Genomic DNA, 14382 nt, shown 5'->3' with positions numbered 1-14382 from the left:
GCCTCCCAAAGTGCTGGGATTACAGGCGTGAGCCACCAGGCCCAGCCTCTTATACTGGTTTTGATTTGCATTTCCCTTATAATGGTGTTGAGCATCCTTTTATATACCTGTTGGCCATCTTTACATCTTTCTTAGAGAAATGTCTATTCAGGTCCTTTGTCCATTTTTAAAATTATGTTATATGTTTTCTTGCTATTGAGTTGTATGAGTTCTTTATAAATTTTGAATATCCACCTCTTATTCAATAGATGCTTTACACCTTTTTTCCCCAATCTGTAGGTTGTCTTTTCATTCTGTTGTTTCCTTTCATGCGCAGAAACATTTTAGTTTCATGTTGGACCTTTTTTTTTTTTTTTTGCTTTTAAAGGAGAAAGTACCAGAGAGTACTATCAAAGTTTCAAAATGTGTCTTTTTCTCACCTAGTTTCAGAAATTAATTAAGGCGGATGATAGAGTTTGGATCTGTGTCCCTGCCCAAATCTCATGTTAAACTGTAATCTCCATTGTTGTAATCTCCAGAGCCTGGTGGTAGATGCTTGGATGATGGGTGCAGTTTCTCATGAATGGTTTAGCACCATCCCCTCGGTGCTGTTCTCCTGATAAGAGTTTTCACAAGATCTGGTTGTTTAAAAGCGTTCAGCAAGTCTCCCCTCTCTCTCTTGCTCCTGTTCCAACAATATGAGGTGTTCACTCCCCCTTCATCTTCCGCCGTGATCGTAGGTTTCCTGAAGCCACCCCAGAAGCAGAAGCCACTATGCTTCCTGTACAGCCTACAGAATCATGACCCAATTAAACCTTTTTTCTTTATCCATTACGCAGTCTTGGGTCTTTCTTTATAGCAGTGCGAGAACAAGCTAACACAGTGGATCATCAAAAACTGGTATCATATTACAAAAAGATGCAGAACAAAAACCCAACATGATAAGAGTAGCAATATTGGAATTGTGTGATTACACAATTTCTATTTTATTCTGTGTGCTCTTCAGAATTTTCCAATCTTTCTACAATAGATACACATTGCTTATGGAAATGTCTCCCTATCATACTATAAGGCAAAATTTAATGATATCAATTCCAGTACATGTTTAGTATAGAGGTAAATAACTTTCACTTTGTCATATAGAAAACAAAATGATCTTCAGATCTCTGTCATTTACATAGTTAGGATGGCACATTGGTGGATGATCTGGTATAATCTTATTAGCCAAATGTTCCTATGAAATAAGAAATGTAAATAATTAGAAATGAAGCTAGATGCATGAGAAGAGTATCCTGTATAGGGGCAGAAAGTATTAACGGGGTAGAATTGGGGTAGAGGAGGGTGGTCAGTTGCATTTTGAAGAGCCAATTTCTGTTTACCATATGTTTTTCCTGATAAGTAAATAAACGGTACAGAAAGTTCCTTATACACTCCATTTTGCCAGGACTTTCCTAGTAGCAGTACATCAACTTTCGTCACATTGGCAAGAACCACACCCAGGAAATTTCAGAGTTCTTTGACCTTGAGCTCGTATATTTCATAAGTGTCTAAAGCTCTTTTGCAAGTCAAGCATCTCTAGTCGCTGGAATCTTGCACACACGCACACGATATTTTCTAATCCTCTCCTAGAACTTTCTTTGAAATAATAACGTCCAAATAGGTTTCTAAATAGGAGAAATTTGTGTGTGTGTGTGTCTGTGTGTGTGTGGGTGTCAGATAATGCCATGGCATTGATGTCTGAATTACATAGAGCTTAATAAATATATTAAGTCAATTAACTTAACAAATTCCATGAATAGACCATTTTTTAAAAATATCCCCAAGAGAAGACATTTTTACTCACAATGAATATCCAGAAGACTGACTGATAGCAAAATAATTTTCATTATAAACGGAATAAATATATTTTATAGCTAAAAACAGTCAGGAGAATAGAATAAGTACACCTGATTACAATATTAAAGATAGGCTCAGTTGAAATAAAAATGTACTATATATAGTAGTGATATAAAAGAAGCAAAACATGATTTTTATAACTTTTTCTTTTGAAAAATGCTTGTGTAATTACTACAATGGGCTTAAATACACAAACTAAGCTGACATCATTGAGTTCATTAATGACTCTCAAAAATACTCAAACTCATTAGTCATATTTGGAGGATTTTTAGAAGCCAATTTACTCTTCTGAAAACTAATCAATAAAGGGGGAGAATTACTTCTGAGCCATCTGTACATTAAGATAGCCAAATAATCATGAAGAGAAAGTCCCTCTTTACAGATAAATTCCAAGGAATAAATGCATAAGGAATTATAGAATTAAAATATCACTATTTGGCAGCCCAGAATAAAATAACCGATCTAGGTGAAAACCCTTATAATCTGCAAAAACGGTTAGATGAAACACTGTGAGAAGCCTCTAATAGATGAATCAAATTTGCAATGCCTGAATGCCTGTTTAATATTAACATCACAAAGAGAGAAAGATACTAACTAGACATGGCAAGCTCCCCAGGTGATACAAAATGAATTTATAACTAGCTCTGAAGTATCGCTGCCTAAAAATGAAACCTGAGCTTATCTGAGTCTTTAGATCAAACCACAAGTTTATGGGAAATTAAAGGGCAGAAGAACATGGCAAATGACACCACAAGTCTGTGAAAAACAAAATCCAGAGTGTGGGATTTGATTCAACATAATACGGATGGAAGTAGTGAGTATATAGGAAACAAGATGAGCCATGTGTTGAATGATGTTGAAAGTGGATAATAGATGCATGAGGGTGTGGTACAATATTATCTCTATTCTTTTATGTGTATCAACTAGCTATTAGGGTAGTGCTTCATAACAAACACTCACAAAGCTTCAGTGGCATGCCACAATGAATATTTATTACTCACACCTCTGTGGTTGACTGTTAGTGGCTTCGGTGGTGCTACTGATCTTGGCTGGGCTCATTCTCATGTCTGGGGTTAGCTGGCTGTCAGCTGACTGACGATGTCCATGGTTGGAAGACTGAAGCATCTCAGCTTTGCTTCACAAACCTCTCATTCTTCAACGGCCCAGACAGGCACATGTTTACTTCTGTGACAGGTGCAAGAAGACAAGTGAAATACAGAAAGCCTCTGCAGGCCTTGGCTTCAAAGTAGCTTCATTCTATTGACCTCAACAAGTCACATGGCAGAAGGTTAGAGTGCAACAAAGTTCTGTGGCCAAAGGTATGGATGCAGGTGAGAAATTTAGGCCAATATATGTTTGAAATTTTTCATGATTAAAACTCATGGATGAAATTGGAAATCATCATTCTCAGTAAACTATCACAGGGACAAAAAACCAAACACCGCATGTTCTCACTCATAGGTGGGAATTGAACAATGAGAACCACATGGACACAGGAAGGGGAACATCACACTCTGGGGACTGTTGTGGGGTTGGGGGAGGGGGGAGGGATAGCATTAGGAGATATACCTAATGCCAAATGACGAGTTAATGGGTGCAGCACACCTGCATGGCACATGTATACATATGTAACTAACCTGCACATTGTGCACATGTACCCTAAAACTTAAAGTATAATAATAATAAAATAAAAAATAAAAAAATTTAAAAAACCTAAAAAAAGAATAAAATAAAAGTTTACATAAATAGCTATGTACAATGTAGGCAATACCAACAACTGAATAGATATAACAATATTTTGATACTAAAACAGTTTACCTAAAGACTGTGATGCATTCAATTTTTGCTATTTTTTTCATAAATAATTGATGGGATAATAATACCTTCTTCAAGAAAGCTTTATAAATATTAAACGAGGCTTTGTTTGTAAAGTGCTTTGCATAGTGCTTGATACCTAAATACCCAATAAATAAAAATAAAAACAACAACAATAATAATTGCTGCTACTCTTACTGTTACTATTAGCCAAAGTTCTGTGCTCTGAAGAGATCATAGTCACAATATGATAACACCTCTAACTTTACCTTTAGATTAAATGAATTATTTGATTATATATGCCAAATCTTATTTCCAAACAATGCAAGTAAACTAATTGTGAACATACTGAAAGATATAGCTGTCAGAATATTTTTGTAGCTTTGTTTACAGAAGCAAAATACAAATGAATAAACAGAAAACTTGGGTATAATCTATATTTCCAAAAACAACAGAATGCTTAAATAAGTTTTGGTATATACTGACAAGAATGCCATGCATTTATGGATAATAAAGTTAGGGAAGAATATTTGATGTTGTATACTACAACTTTACTTTGTAATATAACTTTATTTTGTATGAATGCTTGGATTCATGGAGATACACATAAATGTTAACAATAATTTTCCTTTAGTGACAAGATTATCCTTTTTCATAGAATTTATTTTTAGAGCAGTTTTAGGTTCACAGCAATATTGAGCAGAAGGTACAGAGCTTTCCTATATACTCTGTGCCCCATACATGCATTATCAACATCACATATAAGAGTAGTACATTTGTGGCCAGGTGCGGTGGCTCACGCCTGTAATCTCAGCACTTTGGGAGGCCGAGGTGGGCGGATCACGAGGTCAGGAGATCGAGACCATCCTGGCTAACATGGTGAAACCCCGTCTTAACTAAAAAAACAAAAAAAATTACAAAAAATTAGCTGGGCTTGGTGACGGGCGCCTGTAGTCCCAGCTACTTGGGAGGCTGAGGCAGGAGAATGGTGTGAACCCAGGAGGCGGAGCTTGCAGTGAGCAGAGATGCGCCACTGCACTCCAGGCTGGGCAACAGAGCGAGACTCCGTCTCAAAAAAAAAAAAAAAACAAAACAGTAGTACCTGTGTTACAATTGCTGAACCTACCTTCATGCATTATTACCACCCAAAGTGCATAGTTTACATTAAGGTGCACTCTTGGTGTTTTAAATTATATGAATTTGGGCAAATGCATAATGACATGTATCTATCATTATAGTATCGAATAGCATAGTTTCATTGCCCTACAAATGCTCTCTGCTTTGTCTATTTATCCGTCCCTCCACACTAGCACCTGGCAACCACTGATGTTTTTACTGTCTCTATAGTTTTGCCTTGGATTATTCTTTCTACTTTGTTTACAATACATTTTTGAACCAAGAGTAGCTTCATGAAACCTAAGTGTCTGATACACTGTTTCAGGAGATAGGCGATAGAATCTAAGAATCACTGATGTAGACAAAGCCAATAGCTATATCTACAAGTGCATAATTGATTTGCTTAAATTATTATTCCTAAAAATGATAACAAATTGCTCAGTTGATAAATGCTTGTGCTAACTTGTTAGAAGCTCCACGCAGCTAAAATAGTCAAATCACTTGCCTGTAGCCGTAGCATCACACAATGAGTTATGTTAAAATGATTAAAACCTTGACTTCCTCCAAAAACATGTTCCCCTTAAGGCAAGATGGGATATGGACTTTGACTAGAACTAGAAGCATATAGGCAAAGGAGTATCCATGGTGGAAAAGCATTTTCTAGCATTAAGTTCAACCAGGGAGGCAAAAAGGGCAGACTTTAAAAATGGATCCAGGCCAGGAGCTGTGGCTCATGCCTGTAATTCCAGCACTTTGGGAGGCAAGGCAGGCAGATTCACTGAAACCCATGAGTTTGAGACCAGACTGGGCAACAGAGTGAGACCATCTCTTAAAAAAATTATGAAAATTAGTCAGGTGAGGTGGTAAATGCCTGTAATCCCAGCTACTCAGGATGCTGAGGTGGCTGTATTTATTGAGCCCGGGAAGTCAAGTCTGCAGTGAGTCGTGATCGTGCCACTGCACTTCAGCTTGGGTGATAGAGCAAGACCCTGTCTCAAACCAAACCAAACCGAACAAAACAAAACAAAACATACACACACACACACACACAAAAATGGATCCAGAGTGTATTATTGGTCTTCCAAAGGTATTAAAACTTTTAAGCAATGATTTTTATTTGACTCTTGTGAAAGCAATGAAAATGTCCATTCTTATTTTAGTTTATTGGGTTGGCCATAATTTGGGATAAATATTCCAGAGCCTTCTTGGGTTTATTGGTAGAGTGCTTCCTTCTCAGCACCTACATAACTGTAACATTGTGAGAAATCTGAGGGAAAGTAACAACCTACCATTTGGAATAGGCACCTTGAGTTGGTTTTAGTCGTTTGAGAAATAGGTCTTCATTTGACTCTCCTCAAGACCACTAGGATGGCATAATATAATAATGAGAAATACTATATTTCATATGACTTAGACAAGTGATATCTGCATATCAAGCCCACTATTAGTGCAATACCTCGATTTATAGCATTTGTGTAAATAATGAACTGCACAGTAACTATAGTTCAATGTAGACAGGTGACTACCTTTCAGGCATGGAACGTCATTTTGATAATGTAGATTGACAAAAAAATGTTAAAATAGAACTCATTTTTAAAATTTGCATATATTATAATAAAAGGAAAAAGAGTGTTCACTTTGCCTATAAGAAAGAGAAAAGTAAGAAAAAAATGAATAATTCAAGGCAAATTTACCAATTATTCTTATTACAAAGCCATTGACATATTGTATGACTAGTTCTTCATTTATCACCTATTTTGTATATTTCCAGCCAGAAGAAAATTGTGGGAAGATCAATTCACAGTTTATAAATGAAATCATTGAATATTAACTTTGATTTTGTCTCTGATACTTTCTAACTTGAATAAGTAGATGAGCCATTCTGAACATTAGTTTTCCCACTGGCAAGAAAAAGACATTTTGTATACGCAATATATTTTTTAGCCAATCATAGGAAGGTTGTTACAGTTATACACACAAACACAAAGTACTTCTGATATTGGTGCTATTAGGTATTTTTTTTCTAGGTTAATGAAGAACATTTAAAATACAACTTGTGATATTAAATTTTCCAGACTGGTAGGAATTCTGGCACTGAGATTTACCTAAGTTTCTCTCCATTATATTCACTCATTTATTCATATTGGCATTAATATGGTGGGCACCTACCATACCTTCAGTTTTATTCTTGGCAGTGAAGATCAAAGGTGATTGAACAGGATGAAGTCACTGCTCAGTGGAATGTATATTCTAATAGGTGAGACAGGCAGTAAATAAACAACTGAGTTAACTTCAGGTAGTTGTAGGTACTGTGAAGAAAATCAGAGTAACAGGAGAGTGTTTGGAGAACCTTGAATAGAAAGTGATCTGAGAAGATATCTCTGTAGAAGAGGCACTGTAAAAAAATCATAAGAAGATACCAGCCACACAAGAATCTGCAGAAGAGCTTTTCAGGCAGAGGCAAGGAGCCAGTGCTAAGATCCTGAGGCCAGAAGTAGCCTTATAGAGTAGCAGAAAGTAGGCCACCATGGCTGAAGCTTAGTTGGCTAGGAGAGCTGGGGGAGGTGTGGAGTAGGAAGGCTGGAAACTGGGTTTCTAAGCACAACCAAAGGCAATTGAAAGGTTACAAGCAACAATGATCAAATATTGAGTGAGTCCTACAAAACAATTGTGCAGTGAAAAATTTTCCATTTATTTCAGAAAAAAATATTTAAAAAAATTTTTCCCATCATTTGGTAATATCAAGCTGCTAGGATAGTATTTATGAACTAATTTATTTTAAAAAAAACACATTCAAATGGTCCTGGTATATTCCAGAAAATTCCCATCTCTTAAAGGTCTCTCTGAATTCCAGAAAATCATGCTTGCATTTGTTAAAATGTGCTTTATGATCTCAAAATGCTGGGTTAAAGAATTTCCTTAAATGAGATGCCATAAATTAGACTGCCTGAATGCTGCAGATTACACCATAATTTGTTTTCTGCCAAATAGATAATGCATTCAGCACATTACATTTATTAGAGCTGCTAAACATCTACCCTTTGCTCTCTAATTAGGCTTTTCTTGTTACTGTGTGTTCCAAAAAATATGACTGCTCCATTCCTTAAGGCTGATGAGCAGGATTAGAGTTAATTCAAACAAGAGTAGGTTTAACCTTTGTTCAGTTGTGTTTATCCAGATTACTCAGCATCAAGGGCCTGCTGCTGAATGGTAGAGTCCCGTCAAGATAGGCCTGGCTACCTTCGTGTCGCATGCCTGCCATTCACTTAATTCTGCCCTATTTGTCATGGTAGCTGAAGGATGTCTCAATCAGCAACATCTGGAAAGTTACTTGAGAAACTTCTTGTTGATCAGTTACTCATTGTGAGACACACACAGGTTTGGTTAAGCAGAGACTGGCTTAATTATTGGTGAGGGTTTCTGCTTTTCAGGACATGACTAAAATTTCACTCTGTCTATGCCATTTTTAACTCAGAACAACAAGCTGCCAGGAATACAATTGTTGGGCTCTATTTACAGTTCTTTCTTTGTGTCATACAAGTTCATCAAATGTGCTTCAAGGGAGTTTGGATTGGGAAGGACACATGGGGAGATTTTGGAAATCAGTTATTTTCAATTTCTTAACCTGAGAGGGAGTTATATTGTATTTGCTTTATAATTAATCATTGGAACCTACATATATGTTTTATATACTTCAGGTGTATATGTTTATTCCATGTTTTAAAAAAGTGTGGTTCACGTATGTGTGTAAATGTATAATACCTTTCTTTTAAGACAAAGAGGATGTAACAAAGATGTTACCTTTTCCTTCTGACTTATCAAGTCTCATTTGTTCTAAATCTGCTGGTCACTTCATTCCCCAATGATCCCATCATCTCAGGTATTAAAGGTCTGTCCACATACTTTTTCTTTCCCCGTTAATTCTATTACTTTTTCTTTCCCCATTAATTCTATTTATTCTTCTTCTGCTTGCTATTATTTTCTGAGGGTTCTTTTTTTTCCCAATTACAGATTATAAATTATAAAGCAGAGATCATATCCCTTCTGCTTTTCATCTTTGCTGAACACATTCTAGATATTCAAGAAATACTTCTTGATTAAACCTAGCAGATTTTTAATTTTTTTTAATTTTTTTTTGTTTCAATATCTTTAGAGGTATACGTGGTGTTTGGTTACATGGATGAATTGAATAGTGGTATAGTGAAGTCTGATATTTCAGTGCACCTGTTACCCGAGTGGTGTACATTGTACCCAGTAGGTAGGTTTGTACCCCTCACTCCCTTCCCATCCCCCACAGTTGGGTCTCCAAAGTTCATTATATCATTCTGTATGCCTTTGTGTACCCATAGCTTAGCTCCCACTTATAAGTAAGAACATACAGTATTTGGTTTTCCATTCCTGAGTTACTTCACTTAGAATAATGGCCTCCAGCTCTATCCAAGTTGCTAAAAACACATTATTATTATTATTATTATTATTATTATTGTTGTTATTATTTTGAGACAGGGTTTCGCTATTGTTACCCAGGTTGGAGTGCAATGGTGCTATCTCGGCTCACTGCAAACTCCACCTTCTGGGTTCAAGTGATTCTCCTGCCACAGCCTCCCAAGTAGCTGGGATTATAGGTGCCTGCCACCACGCCTGGCTAACTTTTTATATTTTTAGTAGAGATGAGGTCTCACCATGTTGAGCAGGCTGGTCTCGAACCCCTGACCTCAGGTGATCCACCCGCCTCTGCCTGCCTAAGTCCTGGGATTACAGGCATGAGCCACCACGCCCTGCCAAAATACATTATTTCATTCTTTGTTGTGGCTGTGTGGTATTCTTTAGTGTATATACACCAAATTTTCTTTATCCACTCATTGGTTGATGGGCACTTAGGTTGATTCCATATCTTTGCAATTGTGAATTGTGCTGTAGTAAGCATAGGTGTGTAGGTGTCTTTTTGATATAATACCTTTTTTTCCTTTGGGTAGATATCCAGTAGTGGAATTGTTAGATTGAATGGCAGAACTAGTTCTTTAACAAATCTCCATACTGTTTTCCATAGAGGTTGCACTAATTTACATTCCCACCAGCAGTGTATAAACATTCCCTTCTCACCACATCTATGCCAGCATCTATTGTTTCTTTTTAATAGCAGCTATTTTTGCAAGAGTAAGTTGGTATCTCATTGTGGTTTTAATTTGCATTTCCCTGATGATTAGTGATGTTGAGTGTTTTTTAAAATATATTTGTTGTTCATTTGTATATTTTCTTTTGAAAAATGTCTATTCCTGTCATTTGCCCATTTTTTTATAGGATCATTTGTTTTCTCTTATTGATTTGTTTGAGTTTCTTGTAGATTCTGGCTATTAGTCTTTTGTCAGATTCATAGTTTGCAAATATTTTTTCTCATTCTGTGGGTTGTCTGTTTACTCTGATGATTAATTCTTGTGCTTTTTAAATAATTAGACCCTATTTATTTATTTTTATTATAGTTGCATTTGCTTTTGGGATTTTAGTCATAAATTCTTTGCCTAAGACAATGTCAAGAAGCAGTTTTCCTAGGTTATCTTCTAGAATTGTTATGGTTTCAGGTTTTAGATTTAAGTCTTTGATCCATTTTGAGATGATTTTTGTATAAGGTGAGAGATAGGCATCCAATATCATTCTTCTGCATGTGGTTATCTACTTTTCCCAGCACCATTTATTAAATAAGGTATACTTTCCCCAATTTATATTTTGTATGCTTTGTCAAAGATTAGTTGGTTGTAAGTATTTGGCTTTATTTATAGGGTCTCTATTCTGTTCCATTAGTCTATATGTCTACTTTTATATCAGTACCATGCTGTTTTGGTAACTGTAGCCTTGTAGTATAATTTGAAGTCCAGTAATGTGATGCCTACAGTTTTGTTTTGTTTGCTTAGGATTGCTTTGCTATACAGGATCTTTTTTGGTTCCATATGAATCTTAAAATTTGTTTTCGTAATTCTGTGAAAAACGATGCTGGCATTTTGATGGGAATTACACTGTCTCTATAGATTGCTTTGAGCATTATAGTCATTTTCACAATATTGATTCTTTGAATTCGTGAGCATGGGATGTATTTCCATTTGTTTGTGTCATTTGTGATTTCCTTCAGCAGTGTTTTGTAGTTCTACTTACAGAGATCTTTCCCCTCCTTGGTTAAGTATATTCCTAGGTATTTTAATTTTTTGCAGTTATTGTAAATGAGATTAAGTCCTCAGTTTGATTCTCAGCTTGATCATTGTTGGTGTATAGCATTGCTACTAATTTGTGTATATTGATTTTAAAACCTGAGACTTTGTGGATTTTGTTTATCAATTCTAGGAGTGTTTTGGAGGCGTCTTTAGGGTTTTCTAGGTATATGATCATATCATTGGAAAACTTCCTCTTTTCCACTTTAAATGTCATTTATTTCCTTCTCTCTTGCCTGATTGTTTTGGCTAGGACTTCTGACACTACGTTGAATAGAAATGGAGAAAGTGGGCATCCTTGTCTTGTTCCAGTTCTCAGGGGGAATGCTTTCAACTTTTCCCCATTCAGTATTATGCTGATTGTGGGTTTGTCATACATAAACCTAGCAGATTTTTAATTTCTCTGTTTCCTTTTCTCAGTGTCAGGACACAATGCTAATAAATATATTAGATATATTTATTCTGATTTTGTTGTTAAGAAAAAGTAGCAGTATTGAGTAGCGGTCAAGAACATGGATTTAGAATTTAATAGGTTTGGACTCCAATTCCTATTCCAACACTCTATAATTGTACATTCTTGGGAGAATGAAGATGTAGTTTCTTTTCTTAAAATGAAAGAAGAAACAGTACCTACCTCATGTTTTTAAAAGGATGGAGTAAAGGTACTGCACATAGAGCATTTAGAAAGCTGTCTTACATTTCTTGCATATTGTAAGCACTCGACAATGTAAGCTATTATTATGCTTTTTATTATTACTACAACCTGAATAACTAAACACATTTTAGCACTAACCTATAGTCAATAGCTTGTCTCAACTACATAAACTTTACTCTAAAAATTGGAAGAACACCAATGTTGTTTAAAGTTTTAATATGTCAAATTTTTGGCATATACTGGAAAAATAGAGTCAAATGCATAACTATATATTTATCCATTTAAATTGACTTTTTAAAAACTGACAGACACCATTAAAATATACTATATTCACAGATGATTACTTATCATGTGAAATGGCAGAATTCAGTATCATGTGGTCTGAATGGACCTCATCCAAGAGGACTTAGTTACAAATCCACCAGAAGGATCTCATTATAATGCAGCTTCACCTATAACTAAATCTGTGTCACTGATTCCAAGGGCAGTGAAACATCAAGACTTCTGGGCAGTGATTTGTGTTGGCATCTTTTTCTCTTCATACACCATATGAGATTAATTATACCCATCTATTTGCATTATGTATACTGTTTTACCTCTTAAACATTGCAAGATAGAGCACTTTCAGTAATAAAAGCTACCACTTACTGAATTGGAAATGGAGGTGATGTAACTCAGCCAAGCCATAAGAATTTTACTCCAGGAAAGTAAAATTCAGTGGTCTGTACTATCTGCCAGCATCCACCATGTGAACCATCTACCACTCTAACATTCCAGCAAGAACATTGGGGCTTTCATCTCAATGCTTGATCCCTTTCCAGATACTAAACTCTGGCCATTCAGCATTTTTATGCTTCTGACCATTAACATATGCTTTCAACTAACCTCTCAATATCCTACTTATTCTGTCGCTGTTATCTAGCCTTGTCTCTTCTTGTATTCCCAACCAGTCTAGGTCTTCACTTTCTCTAATTAGCCTTATCCATGGGACATGGAGGACCTCTGTATTGTGCAAGCCAGTTTGGGTCTAAGTTGTAATCCTTGTTGGGATTCTGATGTGTCCGAGAATTCCTGGGAGACACATGGGGAACTCATCCTTATTGAAGTTTGTTTATACATACATATATATATATATGAACTCATCCTAAGAATGTGAAAAAGAACTCATCCTGAAGATTAAGAAAGTCAGCACTTAGTCATCTGCAGTCATCATAGGGAAGAATAATTCTAAGTATAAGCACATCATATTCCTTCATTCAGAAGCTGGAGTGACCTTGGGTCGTACTCCATCAAATAACCTTGAAAGCACCCTTGATGATCTGTCCTCAACTGATAATCCCTCCTATTATTTTATTGCAGTCTATCACTCTCATTAGTTCTAATTATATTTACTTTATATATTAGTACCTTGTTGTTTGGTGTTGGATGCATATATGTTTACAATTGCTAATCTTCTTTCTGAATTTACCTCTAATCATCATATAGTGATTTTCTTTGTCTCTTCTTACATTTTTGACTTAAACTCTATTTTATCTGACATAAGTATAACTACTCTTGTTCTCTTTTGGTTTCCATTTGCATGGAATATCATTTTCCCTTCCTTCATTTTCAGTCTATGTGTGTCTTTACAGGTGAATTGAGTTTCTTGTAGGAAGCATATACTTAGGTCTTTTTTTTTATAATCTTTTCAGCCCCTCTCTATCTTTTAATTGGAAAATGTAAGCAAGTTATATTTAAGGTTATTTTTGGTAGGTAAGGACTTACTCCTCCCATTTCGTTGTTTTCTGGGTTTTATTTATATATATATAATATATAATTTTATTTTTATATATATTATTTTATTTTTATATATATTATTATTATATAATATTATTTTATTATAAAATTTATTATATAATAAATAAATATTTATTATAATTAATAAATGTATAAATTATATTTATTATAATTAATAAATGTATAAATTATATTTATTATTATAAAATTATTGTAAAATAAATTATATTTATTTATTACAAATATATAAATTATAAATTTATATATTTATATATAAGTATATATAAATATATTTATTACTATTTTATATAATAATTTATTAATAAATTAATTATATTAATTAATTTAATAAATTAAATTAATCAATAATTTAAATAATTAGATTAATTTAATTATTAATTATTAATAAATATATATTAATATATAATATATAATATTAAAATAATGCATTCTTTTAAATTTATTTAAAACAATTAAATTAATTTAATTATTTAATTAATTAAATATTTAATTATAATTAAAAATTAATTATATTATATTAATAAATTAATTATATTAATTATATTAATTTATTTATATATTTATTTATATATAAATAAATTATATTTTTATAAAATTATTATTAAAATAAATAATTATATTTATTATTAAATAATAAATATATAAATAAATTATAAATAAATAAATTATTATTACATAATTTTATTATATAAAAATAATATATAATTTTATTATATAAAAATGATATATAATTATATATTATTTTATTTTTATATATTATTTTATAATATATTAATATATATTTTATATATATTTTATATATATATATAAAACCCTTTACCTTTCTTCCTCTCTTATTGTTTACCTTTGTGTATTGTCAGTTTTCTGCAGTGATAAGTTTTTATTCCTTTCTCTTTCTCATGTGTGTATCTGCTACAATTTTTT

General features: G+C 33.8%; 1 long non-coding RNA gene across 3 annotated transcripts in view; it reads right to left on the bottom strand.

The window, feature by feature from the left end:
• Positions 1–1047: 1047 nt before the first annotated feature.
• The window catches only part of LOC105373899 (uncharacterized), a 101158-nt gene continuing 87823 nt past the window's right edge, over positions 1048–14382 (bottom strand). For 2 of the 3 annotated variants that reach the window (XR_923942.1, XR_001739234.1), the window contains 3 exons: positions 6981–7115; positions 2879–3060; positions 1048–1213 (listed from right to left, as the gene is read on the bottom strand). This is a non-coding gene — a long non-coding RNA (uncharacterized LOC105373899). The remainder of the gene's footprint in view (positions 1214–2878; positions 3061–6980; positions 7116–14382) is intronic. The other variant, XR_001739235.1, reaches the window with a different exon arrangement.

This window comes from Homo sapiens, chromosome 2 (genome assembly GCF_000001405.40).
Source record: "Homo sapiens chromosome 2, GRCh38.p14 Primary Assembly".
Taxonomy (NCBI): Eukaryota; Metazoa; Chordata; class Mammalia; order Primates; family Hominidae; genus Homo; species Homo sapiens.
Note: the sequence above shows the minus strand (reverse complement) of the source record. Positions and strands in the feature narration are given on the sequence as shown.